Here is a 24,795-nt window from a genome sequence, read left to right on the forward strand (position 1 = left end):
ATGATGGCCAGGCTGGTTTCGAACACCTGACCTCAGGTGATCTGCCCTCCTCGGCCTCCCAAAGTGCTGGGATTACAGGCATGAGCCACCAAGCCCGGCCTATACTTTCTTAACTTTTAATCTTGTTTATATAATTGTCAGATTTATTACATGTGGTTATTATTTTTTAATGCTGCAAATAACTTTTTCATGCAGCTGAGTAAAATAATTTTTAATTTAAAAAGAATATACTAGAATAATGTAATGATGTGTAATTCTCAGTCATTTACAAACCATTGTCATGGTTTCTGCTATTTGCATGCAATCCACTATTATTTACTAAATATTGAATTTTAAAATCAACCTTTGTTAACTCAAATTTTATTAAAAAGGAAACTATTATACTACTGTTGAGGAAAACAGTATAATTGTTAAAGGAAGAATACAACTGTTAAAATATAGATTAAACATGGTTTTAAAATTAAAATGAGAATAACTATAAAATATAAGCAATATTAGTTCTCAAAAATTTTGCCAACTTTTGTCCTGAAGATATTGATTGGTGAGGTGAATGGGGCTGTTTAATGCTCAGTTTATAATAAAGAAATATTTAGGTTGGTTGGGTTGAGAAGAAGGCAAGTTTTCAAGGTGAAAAAATTGATTCTGTGTTTTAGCTTTAATGGGAATTCCAGCTCAATGGAACAGATAGTTGGAAAGAACTGAAACTATTTAACTGCCTTATTAGTTAGGATTTAATATTGAGAATTAATTTTCAAAGAAAATGATGCAAATGACCTTTCAAAACAAATTTTGTTTGATTAAATCATCTGATGCAACTCTTCTGTCTGTTCAGTTTCTCAACAGATCAAGTTTTGGAAAATAAATGACAGTAATGGCAAATTTTTCCGTCTTCATAAATTGCTATTATCTGGTTTGGAAAATATTACTACAGGTCATTTATACCATCTTTCAAGTGCCTCTGTACAATGTTCATAATATATTTAGTGAATTATTCATATGAGTTCCTTAACAAGCCGTTTAGACACCAAATATCCAAGCCCACTCAATAAAGTGATGCACTTTAGTTTCTCTTATTCCATTTACGAGTTCTCGCACACAGAATGCTGACATAAGCCTCTCTTGTAAGAATAACTAAATTGTTCAAATGGCAAATATATCTGTAGTATATGCATATTAGCAGAGCCAGTGGCAGTCATAGAAAACACCTTGAATTGACAGTTTTCTTCAGAAAGACTTAATGTTCATCTTAAAATTCAAAGAGATGAATGAGAATGCCTCTACATAAAAGCCAATGAGCCCCGGTATGAAATAGCAGTCATATTGACTGTTCTCTTCATAAAGCTGAGAAACAAGTTGGGATTCAGTGATCCATCCTTAAATTGACTTGATGGTTTTAGTAGTTTCACTGAGTGTACTCTCTGGGGCCTGTATGATTTTGTACCCTGGCTCTATTAGCAGGATCCTATCTTACTAGCTGTGAAAACTTGGGCAAGTTTCCATTTCTGTGCCTGTTATCTCATTTGTAAAATATTGATAATATTATCTAACCTGAAGACTTGTTAGAAGGATTAAATATATAGATAAATATTAAGCTTTCAGAACAGTATTTGACATATAGTCTTGCATAAAATATTTGACATACAGTTTTTTATAAGTGTTTGTAGTTTTTGTTTTAATTATTGTTTTCATTTACTCTTAAAACATCATTTGTTATGGACTGACTTGTGTCCCTTGCCCTCCCCCAAATTCTTATGTTGAAACCCTAACTCCCAGTGTGATTATATTGTGAGATAGGGCCTTTAGTAAGGTAAGGAAGGTTAAATGAGCTCATTAGGATGGGGCCCTAATTCCATAAGACTAGTGTCCTTATAAGAATACGAGGAGACATCAGAAATGCCTCTCTCTGCACATGTACAAAGGAAAGGCCATGTGAGGACACAGTGAGAAGATAACTGTCTACAAGCCAGGAAGACAGCATTTTACAGAAACCGATTTGCTTCCACCTTGATCATGGACTTCTAAACTCCAGAACTGTGAGAAAATAAACCTCTGTTGTTTAAGCCACCCAATTTGTGGTATTTTGTTAAGGCAGTCTTGCAGACTAACACACTATTTTGAAGATTGAGGCTTCCTTGTGTATACAACAGTAGGTAGATTTTTTTTTCACAAGTGACATTTCTATGTATTAAAACAATATAAAATAAAACACATGTTGATTAAAACACACTACTAAGAATCAATACATAGGGTCTATGTAATTTGAACGCTCTATTTTTTTTCTTTCAAATAGGAATGGGAGACAGATTATCAAAAGTTTTGATAAAATTGACCATGATACAATAATTTAAGCACTTTATGTAGGTAGACTTTACAGAACTTTAGGAACACCTGATGCATTATTTGAAACATACTCTATTGCTCCAATTATCTATACTTTATTATTACATTTTTTTCTAATGGTTTAATATATTATACATTTTGATTTATAAAGTGAGTTAAAGATTACTATGGCATACATTTTATTTTATTCTTGAGGCATATATTAGGCCCATGAAGTATACCTAACTTGAGAGGACACAAGCACAGCAGGCTTAGAACTTGGGAAGAGCTCCTTCATCTCCATTTTATATCCTTTTCCTTTTCTTAAAAAAAAAAGGTACAATAATAAGAAAAAAGTATATAACGTATTTTGGTCATTGATAAAGAGATTATTCTTTGAGAACCTAGTGTATGTCATATACTGAGTCAGGAACTGAAAATATAAAGATAAATTAGCAATATTTATCTCTTTTGGACCACTTGTCACAGTTTAACCTGGTCACATTTTTAGTAATGTTATTAGGATACTTTAAATTATATCTGAGGTTAATTGTTTTGTGTTGGAGTTTATACATTTTTAGTCTTCTTCCACCCACTCTGTAGCATTTTAATGAGTAACCAGTTGGTGAAAAGAGATCACACTTACATACAGCTGGTAGAAGTTATTGATTTACCGGACCAAGGGTCCAGAAAATTAACAAGGGTGAGTTGGAGAAATGCAGTTGATGAGCATTTCTTGGCTTAACTTTCCAGAAATGTTAGCTCACTTGTGTGTGCATCTTCTGGTGAGCCACTCTACATATGTAGGGTCTTGTTAGAATTGGAAAAACATATAAGTTATTCTTAATTGGTACTTCGGTCTCACCCAGTGGAGTGCTGAAGCCAGTTCATACTAGCTTGTGAGAAAAAACTGTTATAATTTTAGGAAGTATCTGAGCCAGTAAACGCAGCCATACTAAAAAGACAAATTATGTAAAATTACAAAAATAAGTTATATTAAAATATTATTTTAGTCACAAAGAGTTGAGAAAATTAATATACAGTTATTTTTACCATATATTCCCAATACAGTGGAATTACTGTGTATTTTGACAAAATACTTCTATCTTACACTACGTTTTCAATAAATTTACCAAACTCTTGGAACTACAGAGCTACCTCATCTAATGTATGGAAAATATCTACCATAAAACTGAATGAGCAAAGCTGTCCTCACTGTCAAACCAACCATTGCAATCAGACTTTTTATTAGATGAAATCTGATTCTGTTTTCAATAAAGAGAAGTATATTAATATGCACTTGAAAACATATTTTAAAATCCTGAGAAATAATTATTGGATACAACTAATAATAATATAGTACAAGCAGAGAGGTAAAGCAAACTGGCAGAATAGAAAGCTCCACTGATTGTCTACCCTGCAAAGACACCAAGTTAACAACTATCTATGCAGATAAAACACCCTCATAAGAACCACAAAGCAGGTGAGCATTCATAGTTTTAACTTCATACTGCTGAAAGAGGCACTGAAAACAGAGAAAAAGCAGTCCTGAATCACAGACGCCAGTCCTTCCCTATCCCCAGCAGCAGAAGTTGGGTGAGGAGAGCTTACCTGTGAGCTGGGGGCGGGGGAGGGAAACACAGCAATTGTGAGACATTGAACTCAGTGCTCTGCTGTTACAGCAGAAAGGAAAACCGGCTCAAACTGAGCTGATGCCTGCCCATGGAGGCAGTATTTAAAGCAGCCCTAGCCAGAGGGCAATCACTGTTCTCAGAGGTCAAATTTGAGTGCCTGCAATCCTTGCCACTGAGGGCTACAGTGATCTGAGTCTTCATATAAACTTGAAAGGCAGTCTAGGCCACAAGGACTGCAACTCTTAGACAAGTCCTGGTGCTAAACTAGGTCTGGAGATAAGGGATTGAGGGGGCACTCAACATACTGAGGTAGTACATGGGGCAGCCAAGAGAGTGCTGACATCACCCCTCCCCTAAACCTAGGCTGCACAGCTCGCAGATCCAAAACAAACCCCCTTTCTCCTGCTTGAGGAGAGGAAAAGGGAGAGTGGGAAGGACTTTGTCTTGCATCTAGGATACCAGCTCAGCCACAGCAGGATAGGGCACCAATCAGAGTCTTGGGGCCCCCACTCCAGGCCCTAGAAGAAGACTTTTCTTGACAAACTGGGCCAGAAGGGCCTTAGAGTAAAGGACCAAGTCCTGGCAGAGTTCATCACCTGTTAACTGGGCCCTGAATAAACAGCAGCAATTCCCAGGTACTACATCAAGGGCTGCGGATGAGCCACTGAGACTTGCTGGCTTCAGATGAGACTCAGCACATTAACAGCTGTGGTAGCTATGGGGCAAAACTCCTTCTGCTTGAGAAAAGTAGAGGGAAAAGTAAAAGGGACTTCGTCTTGCACCTTAGGTATCAGCATGGTCACAGAGGGGTAGAGCACTGAGTGGGCTCTTGGGGCCCCTGATTCTAGGACTTGACACTTGGACAGCATTTCTGGACCTGTCCTGGGCCAGAGGGGAGCCCACTGCCCTGCAAGGTGAGTCCCAGGCCAGGCAACATTCACAGCAAGCTGACTTAAGAGGTCTGGCAGTTCTCCTCATAGCCTGGGCTACCGGGTGAGTCTCCTCTGCCTTTGGAAAGGGGAGCAAAGTAGGGGAAGGACTGCATCTGGTGGTTTGAGCCAGGTCATCTGCAATACAACAGAACAGGAGGTAGACTTCAAAGGTTTTGACTCTAGTCCCTGACTCTAGGATGGCACTTCTGGACCCATCTGGGACATGTGGGACCTTGCTGCCCTGAGGGGAAAGACACAGGCCTGAATGGCTATGCCACCTGTTTATTGTGGAGCACTAAGGCCTTGAGTGAGGTAGGCAGTAGCCAGAGAGTGGTTACAGAAGGCGTTCATGAGACCCAGTGCTGTGCTGGTTTTAGGTCTGACCCAGCACAGTCATAGTTGTGTTGGCCACAGGGGTGCTTGTGACACTCCATCTCAGCTTTAGATGGCTCAGAATAAATAAAAACACACACTGTGTGTTTGGGAAAAAGTAAGAGAAGAGAATAAAAGTCTCCGCCTGGCAGAGCTTCCAGTGAGCCAAGACCGTGCCACCGCACTCCAGCCTGGGCGACAGAGCGAGACTCTGTCTCACAAAAAAAAAAAAAAAAAAAAAAAAAAAAAGTCTCTGCCTGATAACTCAGAATTCTCCCAGATCTCATCCAAGATAATCAAAGTGGTACCTATACAAATCTGCAAGAACTACAGCATTACTGGGCTCGGGGTGCCCCCTAAGGCAGACATAGCTTACATTCCCATACCCAAGTCCTTTCAAATATCTGGAGAGTCTTCCCAAAAAAGATGGCTACAAACAAGCTTAGACAGTGAAAACCACAATAGATATCTCACTCTTCAGTGCCAAGACACCAAAGAACATCTATTAGCATAAACACCATTGAGGAAAACATGACCTCACCAAATGAATTAAATAAGGCACCAGGGACCAATCCTGAAGAAACAGAAATATGTGAACTTTCAGACAGAGAATCAAAATACCTATGTTGAGGAAACTCAAAGAAATTCAAGATAACACAGAGAAGGAATTCAGAATTCTATCACATAAATTTCACAGACAGGTTTAAATAATTAAAAAGAGTCAAGCAAAGATTCTGGAGAGGAAAAAAAGCAATTGGCATACTGAAGAATGTATCAGAGTCCTTAAACAGCAGAATTAATTAAGCAGAAGAAAGAATTAGTGAGTTTGAAAACAGGCTATTTGAAAACACACAGAGAAGACAAAAGAAAAATGAACAAAAAAGGGTGCCTACACGATATAGGAAATGGCCTCAAAAGGGGAAATCTAAGAGTTACTGGTCTTAAAGAGGAGATAGAGAAAGAGAGAGGGGCAGAAAGTTTATTCAAAGGGATAATAACAGAGAACTTCCCAAACCCAGAGAAACACATAAATATACAAGTACAAGAAGGTTATAGAACACCAAGCAGATTTAACCCAAAGAAGACTACCTCAAGGCATTCATATAATTAAACTCTCAAAGGTCCAGGATAAAAAAGGATCCTAAAAGCAGCAAGAGAAAAGAAAGAAATAACATACAATGGAGCTCCAATACATCCGGCAGCAGACTTTTCAGTGGAAACCTTACAGGCCAGGAGAGACTGGCACGATATATTTAAAGTGTTGAAGGAAGAAAACTTTTACTCTAGAATAGTATATCCAAAAACAAAACAAAACAAAACAAAACAAAACAAAACAAAACACCCTTAAAACATGAAGGTAAAATAAAGACTCTGTGAGACAAGCAAAAGCTGAGGGATTTCATCAATACCAGACCTGTCCTACAAGAAGTGCTAAAGGGAGTACTTCAATCAGAAAGAAAAGGACATTAAAGAGCAGTAAATAACCACCAGATGGTACAAAACTCACTGGTAATAGTAAGTACACAGAAAAACACAGAATATTATAACACTGCAATTGTGGTATGTAACTTAGCTTATCCCAAGTAGAAAGACTGAATGATTAATCAATCAAAAATAGTAACTACAACAACCTTTCAAGACATAGTCAATAAAATAAGATATAAGTAGAAAAAACAAAATGTTAAAAAGTGGGGGAATGAAGCTAAGGCGAGTTTTTTTAGTTTTATTTTTGCTTGTTTGTTTATGCAAATAGTGTTGAGTTGTTATCAGGTTAAAAAAACAGGTTACAAGATAGTATTTGTAAGACTCATGGTAACTTCAAACCAATAAACATGCAATGAATACACAAAAAATAAAAAGCAGGAAGCTAAACCATGTCACAGAGAAAATTATCTTCACTAGGGGAGACAGAAAGGAAAGAAAAAAGATGGAGAAAACCACAAAACAACCAGAAAACAAGTAACAAAATGGCAGGAGTAAGTCGTTACCTGCCAGTAACAACATTGAATGTAAAGGGTCTAAACTCTCCAATTAAAAGACTTAGACTGGCTGAAAGGATGAAAAAACAAGACCAGTTGATGTGATGCCTACAGGAAACACACTTTACCTATAAAGACACACATAGAATGAAAACAAAGGAATGGAAAAAGACATTTCATGACAATGGAAACCAAAAAAGAGCAGGAGTCACTACACTTATATCAGACAAAATAGATTTCAAGACAAAAACTGTAAGAAAAGAAAAGGTCAAAGGTAACTATATAATGATAAAGGGTCAATTCAGCAAAAGGAGATAATAATTTAAAATATATATGCACCCAACACTGGAGCACCCAGATATATAAAGAATATATTATTGGAGTTAAAGAGAGATATAGGCCTGAATACAATAATAGCTGGAGAGTTCAAAACCCCATTTGCGCAGAAAATCAGACAAAAGCCTCAAACTTAATCTGCACTATAGACCAAATGGATCATTTCCTCCAAGAGCTGCAGAATACATATTCTTTTCTTCAGCACGTAGATCATTCTCAATGACAGACTATATGTTAGTCACAATACGGGTCTCAAACATTCAAAGAAATTGAAATAATACAATGCATCCTCTCTGGCCACAGTGGAATAAAACTAGAAATTAATAACAAGAGGAACTTTGGAAACTATACAAATAAATGAAAGTTAAACAATATGCTCTTGAATGACCAGTAGGTCAATGAAGAAATTCAGAAGGAAATTGAAAAATTTCTTGAAACATATGATAATTGGAAACACAACATACCAAAACTTATGGGATATATCAAAAACAGTACTAACAGGGAAGTTTATAGCTAAATGTGCCTACATCAAACAAGAGAAAAAAACTTTAAGTAAACAATCTAACAAAGTACCTTAAGGAACTAGAAAAGCAAGAGCAAACCAAATCCCAAATTAGTAGAAGAAAATAAATAATAAATATCAAAACAGAAAGGAATGAAATTGAGATAAAAAATACAAAAGATCAATGAAGCAAAAAGTTGTTCTTTTGAAAAGTTAAACAGAATTGACAAACCTTTAGCCCAACTAAGAAAAAAGGGAGATGATCAAAAGAAATAGTATCAGAAATGAAAAAAAAAGACATTACAAATAATACTGCTGAAATTTATATGATCACTAGTGGCTACTATGAGCAATTGTGTGCCAATAAATTTGAAAATCTAGAAGAAATGGACAAATTCCAAGATATATACTACTTACCAAAATTGAACCAGGAAGAAATGTAAAATCTGAGCAGACCAATAACAAGTAATGAGTTCAAAGCCATAATAAAAATTCTCCCAGTAAAGAAAAGGCTGGGACCTGATGGCTTCACAGCCGAATCCCACCAAACATTTAAGAACTACTAATATCAGTACTACGCAAACTCTCCCAAAAAAATGGGAAGAGAATACTGCCAAACTGATTCTACAAGTTCAGTATTACCCTGATACCAAAACAAGACAAAGATTTATCAAATAAAGAAAATTACAGGCCAATATCTCTGACGAATATTGATTCAAACATTCTCAACAAAATACTAGCAAACCAAATTCAACAATACATTAGAAAGTTTATTCATCATGATGAAATGGGATTTATCCCTGAGATGGAAGGAAGGTTCATCATATGTAAATCAATCAATATGACATTATATTAACAGAATGAAGGATGAAAGCCATATGATCTTTTCAACTGATGCTGAAAAAGCATTCAATAAAATCCAACATTTCTTCAGGATAAAAACCCTCAAAAAACTGGATATAAATTAGCTGGGCATGGTGGCACATGCCTGTAATCTCAGCTACCTGGGAGGCTAACACAGGAGAATCGCTGGAACCTGGGAGGCGAGGGCTGTAGTGAGCCAAGATCATGCCACTGCACTTCAGCCTGGGCGACAGAGTGAGACTCCATCTCAAAACAAAAAAGAAAACAAGCAAACAAAAACAACAACAAAAAATACTGGATATAGAAGGAACTTACCTCAACATAATGAAAGCCATATTCAACAGACCAAATGGGGAAAAACTGAAAGCCTTTCCTCTAGTATCTGGAACACGAGAAGGATGCCCACTGTCACCACTGTTATTCAACATCGTACTGGAAGTCCTCGCTAGAGCCATCAGGCATGATAATGTTATAAAGGGAATCCAAATTGGAAATGAAGAAGTAAAGTTATCCTTGTTTGTAGATGATATGATCTTGTATTTTGATAAACCTAAAGATTCCACAAGAAAACTATTAGAACTAATGAACAAAATCATTAAAGTTGTAGAATACAAAATCAACATACAAAAATTAGTGGCATTTCTACATTCCACAGTGAACAATGTCTCTACAATACAAACTATAAAAAAGTAATCCCATTTACAATAGCCAACATACAATTAAATACCTAGGAATTAACAACTAAATAAGTGAAAGATCTCTCCAATACAAACTCTGAAAGAAATTGAAGAGGACACCAAACACAAAAACAAAACCAAAAAACAAATTCCATGGTCATGGATTGGAAGAATCAATGTAGTTGAAGCATCCATACTACCCAAAACAATTTACAGATTCAATACAGTCCCTATTAAAATATCAATGACATTCTTCACAGAAGTGGAAAAAAATCATAAAGCTTATGTAGAACTACAAAAAATTTAGAAATCTGATCATAAAATGGGCAAAAGATTTGAATGGACATATCTCAAAAGAAGACATGTATACTAGTCTGTTTTCATGCTGCTGGAGACGAAAGTTTCAAGACATACCCCTAGCAGTTTTCATGCTGCTGGACATGAGAGTTTCAAGACATACCCAAAACTGGGATCAAAAAAAAAGGTTCAGTTGGACTTACAGTTCCACATGGCTGGAGAGGCCTCAGAATCATAGTGGGAGGTGAAAGGCTCTCCTTACATGGTGGCAGCAAGAGAAATGAGGAAGACTCAAAAGTGGAAACCCCTGATAAACTCATAAGATCATGTGAGATTTACTCACTATCATGAGAATAGCACAGGAAAGACCAGCCCCCACGATTCAATTACCTCCCCCTGGATCCCTCCCACAACACATGGGAATTCTGGGAGATACAATTCAAGTTGAGATTTCAGTGGAGACACAGCAAAACCATATCATTCCACCCAGGCCTCTCCAAATCTCATGTCCTCACATTTCAAAACCAATCATGCCTTCCCAACAGTCCCTTAAAGTCTTAACTCATGTCAGCATTAACCCAAAAGGTCACAGTCCAAAGTCTCATCTGAGACAAGGCAAGTCTCTTCTGCATATAAGCCTATAAAATCAAAAGCATGCTAGTTACTTCCTAGATACAATGGGAGTACAGGTATTAGGTAAATATAGCCATTCCAAATGGGAGAAATTGGCCAAAACAAGGGGTTACAGGGCCCGAGCAAGCCTGAAATCCAGCTGGGCAGTCAAATTTTAAAGCTCTAAAATGATCTCCTTTGACTCCAGGTCTCACATCCAGGTCACACTGATACAAGAGGTGGGTTCCCATGGTCTTGGGCAGCTCAGGCCCTGTGGTTTTGCAGGGTACATCCTCTCTTCCAGCTGCTTTCATGGGCTGGCATTGAGTGTCTTTGGCTTTCCAGGTGAACGGTGCAAGCCATTGATAGATCTACCATTCTGGGGTCTGGGGGATGGTGGCCATCTTCACAGCTCTACTAGGCAGTGGCCCAGTAGGGACTCTGTGTGAAGGCTCTGACCCCACATTTCCCTTCCCCACTGCCCTAGCAGAGGTTTTCCATGAGTGCCCTTCCCTTGAAGCAAACTTCTACCTGAGCATGTAAGCCTTTCCATACATCTTCTGAAATCTAGGCAGACATTCCCAAACCTCAATTCTTGACTTCTGTGCACCTGCAGGCTCAACACCATGTGGAAGCTGTGAAGGCTTCGGGCTTCTGCCCTCTGAAGCCACAGCCCAAGCTGTACATTGGCTTCCTTCAGCCATGATTAGAGCAGCTGGGACACAGGGCACCAAGTCTCTAGGCTGCACACAGCACAGGGACCCTGGGCTTGGCTCACAAAACCACTTTTTCCTCCTGGGCCTCCGGGCCTATGATGGAAGGGGCTGCCATGAAGGTCTCTGACATGGCCTGGAGACATTTTCCCCATTGTCTTGGAGATTAACATTAGGTTCCTTGCTGCTTATGCAAATTTCTGCAGCTAGCTTGAATTTCTCCTTCAAAAAATGGGGTTTTCTTTTCTATATCATCAGGCTGTAAATTTTCCGCATCATTAGCCTACAAATTTTCTGAACTTTTATGGTCTGTTTCCCTTTTAAAACAGAATGCTTTTAGCAGTACCCACGTAACCTCTTGAATGGTTTGCTCTTAGAAATTTCTTCTGCCAGATACCCTAAATCATCTCTCTCAAGCTCAAAGTTCCACAGATTTCTAGGGCAGGGGCAAAATGCTGCCAGTCTCTTTGCTAAATGTAACAAGAGTTGCCTTTGCTCCAGTTCCCAACAAGTTGCTCATCTCCATCTCAGACCATCTCAGCCTGGCCCTTATTGTTCATGTCACTATTAGCATTTTCATAAAAGCCACTCAAGTCTCTAGTAAGTTCCAAACTTTCCCGCATTTTCCTGTCTTCTTCTGAGCCCTCCAAACTGTTCTAACCTCTGCCTGTTACCCAGTTCCAAAGTCTCTTCCACATTTTCAGGTATCTTTTCATCAACGCCCCACTCTACTGGTACCAATTTACTGTATTAGTCCATTTTCTTGCTGCTGACAAAGATGTACCCAAGACTGGGAAGAAAAAGAGGTTTAATTTATAGTTCCACATGGCTGGGGAGGCCTCAGAATCATGGCAGGAGGCAAAAGGCTCTTCTTACATGGTGGCAGCAAGAGAAAATGAGGAAGAGGCAAAAGTGGAAACCCCTGATAAACCCATCAGATCTCATGAGACTTATTCACTACCATGAGAATAGCATGGGAAAGGCGGTCCCCATGATTCAATTACCTCCCCCTGGGTCCCTCCCACAACACGTGGGAATTCTGGGAGATACAATTAAAGTTGAGATTTTGGTGGGGACACAGCCAAACCATATCAACATGCAAATGGCAAACAGGCATATGAAAAAGTGCTCAACAATACTGATCATTGGAGAAACGCAAATCAAAACTACAATGAGATCTCTTCTCACTCCAGTTAAAATGGCTTACATCTAAAAGACAGGCAATAACAAATGCTGCTGAGGATGTGGAGAAAAGGGAACCCTTGTATGCTGTTGGTGGAATTGTAAATTAGTGCAACCACTATGGAGAACAGTTTGGAGGTTCCTCAAAAACTAAAAACTGAGCTACTGTATGATCCAGCAATCCCACTGCTGTGTATATGCCCAAAAGAAAGGAAATCAGTATATCAAAGAGATATCTGCTCTCCTATATTTGTTGCAGGACTGTTTATAATAGCTAAGACTTGGAAACAATGTAAGCATTCATCAATAGATGAATGGATTAATAAAACGTGGTACATATACACATGGAGTACTATTCAGCCACAAAAAAGAATGAGATCCAGTCATTTGCCATGACATGGATGGAACTGGAAATTATTGTGTTAAGTGAAACAAGCCAGATACAGAGACACAAAAATTGCATGTTCTCAGTTATTTGTGGGATCTAAAACTCAAAACAATAGAACTAATGGACAGAGAGAGTAGAAGGATGGTTACCAGAGGCTGGGAACGGTTGTAGGGGACTGGGCAGGGAAGGTGGGGATTATTAAGGGGTGCAAAAATGTAGTTAGAAAAAATCAATAAGACCTACTGTTAGACAGCACAACAGGGTGACTATAGTCAATAATAGCTTAATCGTACATTTTAAAATAACTTAAATAGTGTAATTGGATTGTTTGTAACTGAAAGGATAGATGCTTGAGGGGATGGATACCCCATTCTCCATGATGTGCTTATTCCACATTGCTTGCCTGTATCAAATAATCTCATGTATCCCATAAATATACACACTTACTATGTACCCATAAAAATAAAAATAAAAAAATAAAATTATAGCACTTTAAAATATACATTATAAGCAGCCTAATCAAGGTGGAAATGTGGTAAATGCAATGTAATTAATTTGCATCTTATATAATTAATTCAAAATAAATCAATATGATTTTTTTATACATATATTATACAATATTTTGTGAAAATTGTTATTTATAAAATAAGACATATGATAAAAGGCATTGTATTAGTTTTTTATATTACAAACTAGAAGCCTTTTAAGAGAGAAATGTATTGTCTTCAGTTCTGTAGGCTGAAAGTCTGAAATCAAGATGCCAGCAGGACTGATTCCTTCTGAGTGCTATGAGGGAGAATCTGTTCCAGGGCTTGCCCCTAGCTTCCGGTAGCCTTAGGCATTACATAGCTGTAGATGGACTTTTCCCTGTGCTTTCGCATCATCTTTCCTCTATATGTGTTTGTATATGTGTCCACATTTTACCTTTTTTATAAGGACACAGGTCATACTGGATTATACTGGTCATACTGGATTAGGGCCCAACCAAGTGACCTCATCTTAACTTGATCATCTACACTGGCCCTATTTCCAAAAAAAGTTCAATTCACAGCTACTGGGGGTAAGGATTTCAGTATATTTTTCAGGGACACAATCCAACCCACAATAGGCATGCTGTTACTTTAATAAATGTATATATATAGCAAATTCATTTGTTTGGGTTTGGAAATAATACAATAAAAATTAATGATTTAAAATGAAAAGAACCATATTAACTTTGTTAGATGCTAGAATCTAATTTTCTCTGTCTTCTATAAAAGGAAACAATACCTAGTACTGAAAATTAAGACACTGATAGTTGGCATATGTTAATTTTTCATAGTAATAAGAAAAAGGTAAGTATATTGTACGATAATTAAAAATAAAAGGAGTAAATGTTTCATGATTTCACTTGAGATTATTGGTTTTAATTATCATATTGAATTCTAAATACCAACTCTGACAGTAATTATATGAGTTTTACCTGTGAATTTTATTCAATGTGTCAGGAAAGCCATGGTAGTCTTTCAAAACATTTGTTATGTTTGAAGAACCAATATCATAAGCCTTTGCTACTGTATCTGTTTTTAAGTTGCTTTTTAAAAAAAAGTTAATGACAAATTCTGGAGATGAGTAGTTAGAATATACAAAGCAAATTATCAAAAAAAAGCATTTTTAGGGTTCAATATCTATTTCCAATGCTCTGCTTTATTTTTATGAGATTTTACCTCAGACTTTACACCTTCTTTGACAATAGCCTGAAATAAAAGAGAAAAAGTTGTCAAACAAAAATTGTTGTCACCCACTCTATTTCACAACATTTGAACTCAGAAGATTCCAACTCACGACATAGTGTTCCATTATAGTATTATGTGTCCACCTTAACAAAAACATATAAAAATAAGAAAAAAGAAGCCCTGTGTATTTATTACATTTTGGTTGATTAATAACTAAAAGAGAGATATATAAAATAAATATTTTCAACTATATGTTTATTTGGATGGGTGAGGGCTGTATCTTTTCTGTAAAAGTGAAAAACAGGTATTGTGGATGCAGGAATGCTCCCAGTTAGGTAAGTTTTTATAAAGACAAATTATGAAAGTTGAGAATCTGGAAATTGATTTCCTTAAAAACATCTGAGTCTGTAAGAAAGTTACACATGTCTTAGTTAGCACCACTGATGTATTGGCCCCACTGCTGGACACTGTGGTTCTGGCCATTTGTTCCCAAGCCTGAAGTCTCTGTTGAAGCAGCTTCTGTTCTGAACCATGACTTTCCTGGTCTGTGGGTCAGCTTAGTTCTCTAGGGTCTTTCACCAAGCACTCCAAGTGCAGGATAAGAAATGCCAAGGGCCCCAGCACAGACTCACTTACCTATCTGATTCTTGTTGCTACTTTCACAAGTCACCCTCACGCCATATTGGATGTGATCTTGAGCCCAGATAAGGCCTTCTAATGGCCTTCACATTCCTTACTTTTATTATGCCAGGAGAACAGATCTCCTGCTCTGTCTTTCTGCTTATTCCTGTACATATCCAGAGGTTAAAAAAACAGTTAAAGGAGAGCCTGAAATGTGGAGTGAAGTGGTAAGAAGAATACTTAGGGTCTGATCATTTCTATCATCCCTCTTCCACAATTTCTGGGATGGAAAAAGTGGACTTAGTGTTTTCCCATTCCTCTGCTTACCTCCTCCATTCTTCTAGCTTTGAGCAGTGAAGCTCATAGGCTAGTTTTCATAGAACTCAGCAGAACCTGGGGCATTGGCGGTCCTTAAGAAATATTTGTTGAATGATTGCTTGAATCCATGAAAAGATAATCTAATCTATACATTGACATAACCTGTAGAATCTTATTCCTCCTGATATATTTTAGACATGCTATTGTAATGGCTTTAAGTACTATTGATTTAATTAAATAACCATACATTTTTTAGTCAAAATGTGAGAGACATTTAAATAATAACAGGTCAAAAGTAATCCCCATCCTACTGACTAATGAAAAGGATGTGTGTGAAAATGCAAGAGGCAAGCATGTTAATATACTTTTTAAAGTTCCCATTATAATTTATGTGTTAAAAATTATTTATAGTACTTTGAATTTTCAGAGCTCATTAACTATTAATTAATTGATTTAATTTCTGTACTTTGAAGCAGTTATTCCGTGCTTACTTTTGGCATCTCAGACTAGACATGGTAAAACTAGAAATCTTGACTCTTCTATTCTTAACCACTGCTTCCCAGATATATTAACCATCTAAGCTCATGGTGCTGCCATTCACCCAGTTTCCTGTCCCAATACAAGAAACCAATCCTTGATTCTCCTCTTCTTCATCACTCACACCCAACCCATAATTTAAGCCTGTTGTTTCTGTGTCAAAATGTACCTTGGATCTCAATATATCTTTAATCACCTCTTCCCTGCTACCAGCCTAAATCTGTCACCATCAACTCTTAGCAGTATTATTTTCCTAATTGGACTCAAAAACAGACACTTCACACGTTTCCTCTTTATCCCATTACCCTATAAGTTTTGTTACATCCCTTATAGCACCGCTTTTTATTCTCTTAGAGTATATCATGTTATTTTTTTTTTCTCTACTTGTTATATTATTTTTATCCCACTAGAATGTTAGATCCATGAGAGCAGAGGCCTTGCTTGTGCTTTTCAGGGCTGTATTCTTGTTAACAAAAACAGGGCTGACACATGGTAGGAAATCAAGATGTACAAGTGGGAGCTAAAAAAATTGAACTCATGGAGATAGAGAGTTGAATGATGGTTACCAGAGGCTGGGAAGGGTATGGGGTATTAAGAGGGGATAATAGGTGGAAAAATGCAGTTAGATAAAAAGAATAAGATCTAGTGTCCAATGACACAGTAGGGCTACTATGGTTACAGTAATTTATTGTATATTTCAAAATCACTAAAAGACTGGAATTGGAATATTCCTAACACAAATAAATGATACTTGCTTGAGGTGATGGATACCTCAATTACCCTGATTTGATCATTACACATTATAAGCTTGTATCAAAATATCACATGCACCCCATAAATATGTACAACTATTATGTATCCATAAGAAAAATTTTAAAAAAGTTGCATTTTTGGAATGAATAAATGACCAAATAAGATAATTACAGCAATAAGAGAAAGCCTTTAAATTTTTTTATACAAAGAGATAATATGATCAAAGAATTTAGTTTTGATAGATTATTCTGGTAATGAAAGGATTAGAAATGGGAGTTATGTTTGGAGAATATTGTAATTTTGCAGTCAAGAAATGTAGATGGTCTTAGCTAAGGTAATAATGCGGAAATGGAAAGGAGTGGGTAGATACATGGAACATTTATGAGGCAGAATTGATGTGACTCAATGAATGATTAAATGTAGCTGAGTTGTGAGCAGAAGGAAGTTAGAAAATGACTTAGGATTTTTTAGCTAAGGAGACCCAGTTGTTCTAAAATATTTTAAAGAGGATGTTTCTAAATGAGTTTCCTTCACTTCAACACTAGAGAAACTCATTTAGAAACATCCTCTTTGAAGTGTTTCTAAAGCATTCAGTTAGAGATATTTAGAAGCCAGTTAGAACAAGAAGTTCTCTATGTATAAGGAGAATGGTTATGACTGGAGATTCAGCTTTATGAGTCATTTACTTAAATATGGATGTGGAAATCAGATCAATCTAGTAGAGTAGAGAGAAAGAAAAGACCAATTCCTAGGGTCCTTTAACATTTAAGGAGTGAGATGAAGATGATGATTTAGTAAGGGATACTGAGTCAATGTTTTTTTCTTCCAACAGCATTTCAAATTCTTGCTTTTTATGTATTCATTATTCCACTCAAATTGGACCTTTCTAAATATGCCCATATTTTCTAACTTACATGCTTCTGTTCATGATGTTCCCAGGAATGCTTTTTGTACATTTCTATTCAATGAATAGTGTGTTTTTTAATACTCGTTGAAAATACTTCCCTTGAAAGCCTTTTTGAACTTGCTCAAAAGTTTTCTCTTAGACTATGCATTCCTTGAGAGAAAAAGGAAGTATTCTTCAACATTACTCAGTGAATATAGCAAGTTTTCAATGAATATTTAATAATTTAATCTATGGTAGATTGCATTAATATCCCCAATTCTTCACTCCTCCTTGTATTCCTGCTCTTTGGCATGTAACTTGTAGTGCCCTCTCTGACACGGCGCTCATCCATGTGATTTTCTTCAGCCAATGTTAGGAAGAAGCAATGGTATGTGTAGTGCTCAAGATGTCTTGTCTGTTTCTGATTGCTCCTTTCTTCTGTCATCCTCTGAAGAGGGATATGCCTGGGGTTGCCTGCCAGTCTTAAGAAAAGGATGAAAAATTTTGAGTCATGCCAGGGAACTCAGCATAGATCAACTGAACCTGCAAAGCATGAGAAATAAACACTTATTATTGTATGCCATTGAAGTATCATGATTGTTTGCAATGATTTTATGGCAATTATCTTATTTTATTTTTGAATATAAATAAGTTCATCTAAAAGATATTTGATACATAATCTCCAAGACAAAAACAGGGCTAATTAAACAACATTCTTTAATATGGAGATTATCATCTCCTCCTTAATACTGCTTTAAAAATCTTTTTTCAATTTCTTTAAAAAAACTGCTTTATTGAGGTATAATTGTTATAAAAAAACTGTACACATTTCATGCATACAATTTGATGAGTTTAAGCATATGCATACACCCATGAAACCATCACCACAACCAAGATAATAAATATATCCATCACCTCTAAAAGTTGCCTTGTGTTCCTTTGTTTTCCTGTTTATTTGTTTGTGTTAAGATTTGCTCTCAACAAATTTTGAAGTGTAAAATACAATGTTGTTAATGATACATGCTATGTTGTACAGCAGATTTCTACAACTTATTCATCTTTCATAAGTGAAACTTTATACCATTGAACAATAACTGCACATTTTCTTCTCTCTTCAGTCCCTCACAACCACCATTTACTCTCTGAGCCTATGAGTTTGGCTATTTTAGATACATTATATAAATGAAATCATACAGTATTGCCCTGTGACTGGCTTATTTCACATAATATCATAATGTCTTCAAGGTTCATCAATATTTTCTGTCACATATGGTAGGATTTTTTTTCTTTTATAAGGCTGAATAATATTCCATTGTGTGTTTTCTTTATCCACTTATCTGTCAATGGACATTCTAAATTGTTTCTATATCTTGGTTATTGTTAATAATGCTGCAAAGAACATGAGAGTGCAGATGTCTCTTTGAGATTTTGCTTTCAGTTATTTTGGATATATACCCAGAAGTGGGATTGCTAGATCATATGGGAATTCTACATATAATTTTTTTGAGGAGCCTCTATACTGTTTTCCGAAAATATAGGGGAAAGCCTTCTTGACATTGATATTGGCAATGATTTCTTGGATATGACATCAAAGCACAGGCAACAGAAGCAAAAATAAACGTGATACAACATTAACCTAAAAAACTATACAGAAAAGGGAACAATAAACAGAATGAAGAGACAATCTATGGAATGAGAGAAAATATTTCTGTTTTTAAATTTTTTTGACTTTTAGTTTAGGTTTGAGGGTACATGTGAAGGTTTGTTAAGCAGGTAAATACGTGTTATGGGGGTGTGTTGCACATATTATTTCATTACCCAGGTATTAAGCCCAGTACCCAATAGTTATATTTTCTGCTCCTCTCCCTCTTCCCACCCTCATCTCTCAAACAGACCCCAGTGTCTGCTGTTTTCTTTTTTATATTCATAAGTTCTTACTATTTACTCCCCACTTACAAGTAAGAACATGTGGTATTTGGTTTTCTGTTCCTGTATTAGTTAGCCTTCGGCTCTGCCCATGTTCTTGCAAAAGACATGCTCTCAGTCTTTTTTATGGCTGAATAATATTCCATAGTGTATATGTACCGCATTTTTCTTTATTCAGTCTGTCATTGATGGACATTTAGGTTGATTCCACATCCTTTGCTATTGTGAATAAATAAGCACAGTTTTTAATTGTTGCCTTATACAGTTGCCTTTTAAAACATGGGATAAGAAAAGTGTTACAAACATAATAAATATGTTTATATTGTCTTTTTTTAAAATTATACTTTAAGTTTTGGGATACATGTGCAGAATGTGAAGGTTTGTTACATAGGTATACATGGAGCGAAAATATTTCTAAACAATGTATCTGATGAAAAGTTAATATTCAAAAAATGTAAGGAACTCCAGCTCAATTTCAAAAACAAAAAACAAACAAAAAACAAAAAGACCCCACAACCCAACAAATACCTTGATTAAAAATGGGCCAAATACGTGAATAAGTAATTCTCTAATAGAGACATACAAATGGCCAAAAGGTTTATGAAAGGTGCTCAACATCACTAATCATAAGGAAATGCAAATCAAAACTGCAATGAGATGTCACTTTGCACCTGCTAGGATGGTTATTGTAAACAACCACTACAAAAAAGATAAATACTAGTGGGAATGTGGAGGAAAGTGAACCTCTGTACACTGTTGGTGGGAATGTAAAATGGCTCAGCCACACTTTATGGAAAATAGTGTGGCAATGGTTTTAGTGCAATTATTTTATGGCAATACCTAATACAATTTCAAAATGAATTTCTTAAAAGTAAAGAAATAAAATAGAATCTCTGAAATTTAAGAAAAAAAAAATGAGTTACCCAATGGCAAAGGATAGAATCTCTTATAACACTAGGTGAATAGACTTTGACTAACCAACAAAAACTAACATATTCAATTGAGTGTTGCCTTTCAAAGCCCTCTTATTGTGAGGTTATTCAATTATTTTAATAAAGTAGCTATAGGTTAAGAATTTCTCTTTGTAGATTACTTTTAGAGATAGTTTATAAATCAGTAAAGAAAATCTAGATTTTTTACTTCTTTTTCACATCCAGTGAATTCAGAAAATAACACCCTTCTGATATAATAATTGGATGCTAACCAAGGCAGCCTTAATCCTCTTACCTTGACTAGACTTTGCACAGGTTTCTTCCTGACTGTAGGCACCTGACCTCCTTTTGCTTAGAGAATTTGTTTTAGAAAACTTGTAATTGTAAATCCTTTCTCTGTCCCTTTGAAATGTATGTAAATTATCCTCTAGCCTCTTGCCTGTTTTACAACGCAGAAATTACCTTTCTCGAAGACCTAGAATCTATCCCATTGAGATGTAGTCATCAAGAGGAACAGCTTCCCTATCTTCCAGTCTCTGTGGTAGGGTAAGACCTTCATAAACAAACACCTTGAGCCTAATCACATTGAGCAACCTCTCTGCTAATGTCCTCCAGCACTTTGCTGCTGGCGACCCCCCATGATTAAAAACCCACCCATCTTTTGTTTCAGTGGAATAGAATTCAATCTCTCTCCCCTTTTACAATAGTCTTGGGTAAAGTCTTCCTTGCCTGTCAAACTCTGTCTGGCGTAATTATTCTTTGAAAATGCAAAATAATGTAAAGCACTTTTTTTCAAAATAGATCAAATCCAGGTGGTATGCCTATTTTTTTTTATTATGGTAACCAAACTCAATATGAAAAGCAAAGTGGAAGTGATTTCATGTAAATTCTTATCTGAGAATCTTTTAAAAGTCAATTTCCCGGCCAGGTGCAGTGGCTCACGCCTGTAATCCCAGTGCTACGAGAGGCTGAGGTGGGTAGATCACCTGAGGTCAGAAGTTCGAAATCGGCCTGGCCAACATGGTGAAATCTGTCTCTACAAAAATAGAAAAATTAGCTAGGCATGATGGCAGGTGCCTGAAATGCCAGGTACTCCAGAGGCTGAGGAGGGAAGATCGCTTGAACCCAGAAGGCAGAGGTTGCAGTGAGCCGAGATTGTGCCGTTGCACTCCAGTCTGGGTGACAGAGTCAATTTCCCCTTGCTCTCATTTCTTCTGAACATTTTATGTTAGCCAATTCTTAACATATTGAATTGGCACTTTAAGATTTGAAGGCATATATTTTTCAGAGAATGTACTTTATTTTTCTTTCAATTCATCCTTTTAAATTTCACTAATGTGGAAGTAACATTCTTTCTCCATAAGGGCTTAAGTTGTTAAAAGATGAGACACAGGGATTTTCTTCTGTGTACCTCTAAACTTAAGGGATATTTTGCATTCCCTTTCAGTAGGATGTCACACAGCATTCCAGAGGCGAAGTACTTAGGGTAGCAATTACATTACTTTAATGGAATCACTTTTAAAGGTGCTATAATCAATCATCATTAACAACAACAAAAGTGACAAAAACTAACTTTGTTAACTAGGAGAGATTTTGAGCTCGAGATCCTTCCAACTAATTATATTTTGATAGATCATTTGGAACTAGCTTTAAATGTTTCCAGGAGTTTCTGAACAGTTGCCTTTTTAGAAGCCAGTTTTATTTTTAATAATATGAGAAAGGGACCAGAGATTTTTCTGGGAGTGAATTAATCAGGGTGAGGAAAGAAAATAGGGGTTAAAGAAAATTTGCTTTGTGAGATGGAAAGATACTCATGTACGGTGATGTTAACTTTTATTAAAGGCAAAAGAGAGAGCAGCCATTTCGTACAAACATACACAGACAACCAATGAAGGAGACTAAAGATAGGAATTTCCCATAACTAATGGGCCTCAAATATTTGTTCTTTGAACACAAGTGTAAGGCCTTCTGCATGGGTCACTAGGCTGGGCCCAGTACATTGATATTACTTTTTGAGTCGTAAATTAGAACATTTGTCCTGGCAATTATAAATCTATGCAAAGAATACAGTAATATAAACTACTTCATATATTCTGAAGCTGCTTTTAAAATATTTTGAGTGTGGTTGTGTAGGCTAAAGTATAGATACTCTATTAGGGCCTCATAAACAAAGGAGAAATGTTGGATGGGATGGAGAAAATTCAAGGATTGGGGAAAAATGTCAATGCTAAACAGTAAAATTATAACGAAACTACCTTGATAAGAAAACAAAAGTGCAAAACACTTTGCTAGCTTTTTCTACGGCAGCTTCAGCAGGTGGCGCTGGTGAGCTTCCAATAGGTAATAATGTGCATGGTAAAAGTTGAGTTTCATGGGTTATGCGGATGTACTGCTCTCCTCTCCAGGGCTCCAGGGATGAAAAAACGTGCAGTCCAATAAAGATCTGAAATACGTCATTCTTTTAGTATATATGTATTAAACAGATGCCTATGTAGGTATCAATTTATATTAGCAATTACAAACATATTCATGGCTTATTTCTAAAGAAAAGTGCCTGATAATAAAAAGATTTATTTGAAATTACTCAACATAAGTTTTAAAAAATGTCTAGTCCTGGCAGGGTGCGGTGGCTCACGCCTGCAATCCCAGCACTTTGGGAGGCCGAGGTGGGCGGATCACGGGGTCAGGAGTTAGAGACCAGCCTGACCAACATGGTGAAACCCCATCTCTACTAAAAATACAAAAATTAGCCGGATATGGTGGCTCGCGTCTGTAATCCCAGCTACTCAGGAGGCTGAGGCAGGATAATCACTTGAACCCACGAGGCGGAGGTTGCATTGAGCTGAGCTTGCGCCACTGCACTCTAGCCTGGGCAACAGAGCGAGACTCCGTCTCAAAAAAAAAAAAAGGAAAAAGAAAGTCTCGCCCTCAGTTTTCCTGAATTTCTCTCAAGTTCTATATGAGTACATCTGCCAAGGGCCACATTATTTTGTGAATGGATAATTGAGATAATTGGCAGTATGTTACAGAGCAGTGGCAGTTCTCCTTGAACTTAGACAAGATGCAAGTCACTTAAGGATGTTGTAAAATGTGGGTTTTAATTCAGTACATCTGAGTGGGACCTGAGATTCTGCATTCCTAACAAGCTCCCTGATGATGGCAATGCTGTAAATTTTCATATTACGCCGAGTAGCAAGGCTATAGGGGAATTTATATCAGATCTACCTTCCAGCCCTGGTAATCTTCCTTAACAAGTATGTGACCTTGATGAAGTCAGTTTATCTCTAATAATGAAATAGAAAAAATAAAGTAGTATCTCTTCTTTTTATTTATAGTAATCATTTTAGGGTCTTATAAAATGCTGAATTATCTACCAAAGGAAACATTCAGTTATATTTTGTAAATAGTTGGAAAACCAGTTGCATATATTGACTTTAACATATTAGAAAATGATTGACACATAAAAATTATTGGCTAAATGTGAAAAGTTTACTTATTTCAGATTTTAGTTTCTGTATTGACTTTTAACCTTAGAGAGATCCTTAAAACATAAGTGAATAGGAATGCAAGGTATATAAATGAGAGAATTGACAACAAGTCTAAAAACGGGGTGGAAATACTTCATTGAAAGAAAGAATGAGAAAAAATGCAAATTACTTAATTTTGTAATTATGATTTTAAAATAACATCCCAGAAAGAAATGAGAAAATAATTGTAAGTCATTTTTAATTGTGTGACTCAAATAATAAATTAATATCCCCATAGGGATGTAGTGATCAGCTAAAAGCGGCTTGCTGAGTGCCTACGAGCACCAGTGAGGTAGTGAAGCTATCCTGGGCTAACAAAGACGCTTATCCTTAAGTCACGTCTTCCTTATAGTTGATACCTGGTTTCCTGTTTGACTTGAGTAAAAATTTCCACCACACACTGTTTGTCCATATGTGTCTCAGCAGTAGAACAGTGACTAACAGCAGTTTTATTGGATTGGGCATTTGTTATCATTGTAATTAATGCCTGAATGTTCAGCAAGTGAGTCGTGTCAATAAATGGCATCTCAGACATGCAGGTAAATCGAAGAAGAATGCTTAGGCTTCTATATGGAAGTGCTGCAATCTTCAGTTATGTAAGTAATTTGTATCTCCTTTCTTAGTGCTTTGGAATCCCACTGCCTAAGGTCTTATTCCAGCTCTAAAGTTTAATGACTATGGCTTGGACAAGTTACTCAACTTCTCTGAAACTCAGTTTCTTCATCTGCAAAATGCAAGTATTATCAGAGCTTAACTTTCTAGGGTTGTTTAGG

At 36.5% G+C, this 24,795-nt stretch overlaps 2 annotated features.

Moving 5' to 3' along the window:
• Positions 3,768–4,269: an enhancer, noted in NCBI's record as "NANOG hESC enhancer chr4:43115153-43115654 (GRCh37/hg19 assembly coordinates)". NCBI's record gives its function as "activates a minimal SCP1, AML or CMV promoter by ChIP-STARR-seq in primed H9 embryonic stem cells {active_cell/tissue: H9 hESC(primed)}" and the evidence as "EXISTENCE:reporter gene assay evidence [ECO:0000049][PMID:30033119]".
• Positions 20,750–21,343: an enhancer, noted in NCBI's record as "NANOG hESC enhancer chr4:43132135-43132728 (GRCh37/hg19 assembly coordinates)". NCBI's record gives its function as "activates a minimal SCP1, AML or CMV promoter by ChIP-STARR-seq in primed H9 embryonic stem cells {active_cell/tissue: H9 hESC(primed)}" and the evidence as "EXISTENCE:reporter gene assay evidence [ECO:0000049][PMID:30033119]".

Source organism: Homo sapiens, chromosome 4 (assembly GCF_000001405.40).
Source record: "Homo sapiens chromosome 4, GRCh38.p14 Primary Assembly".
Classification (NCBI taxonomy): domain Eukaryota; kingdom Metazoa; phylum Chordata; class Mammalia; order Primates; family Hominidae; genus Homo; species Homo sapiens.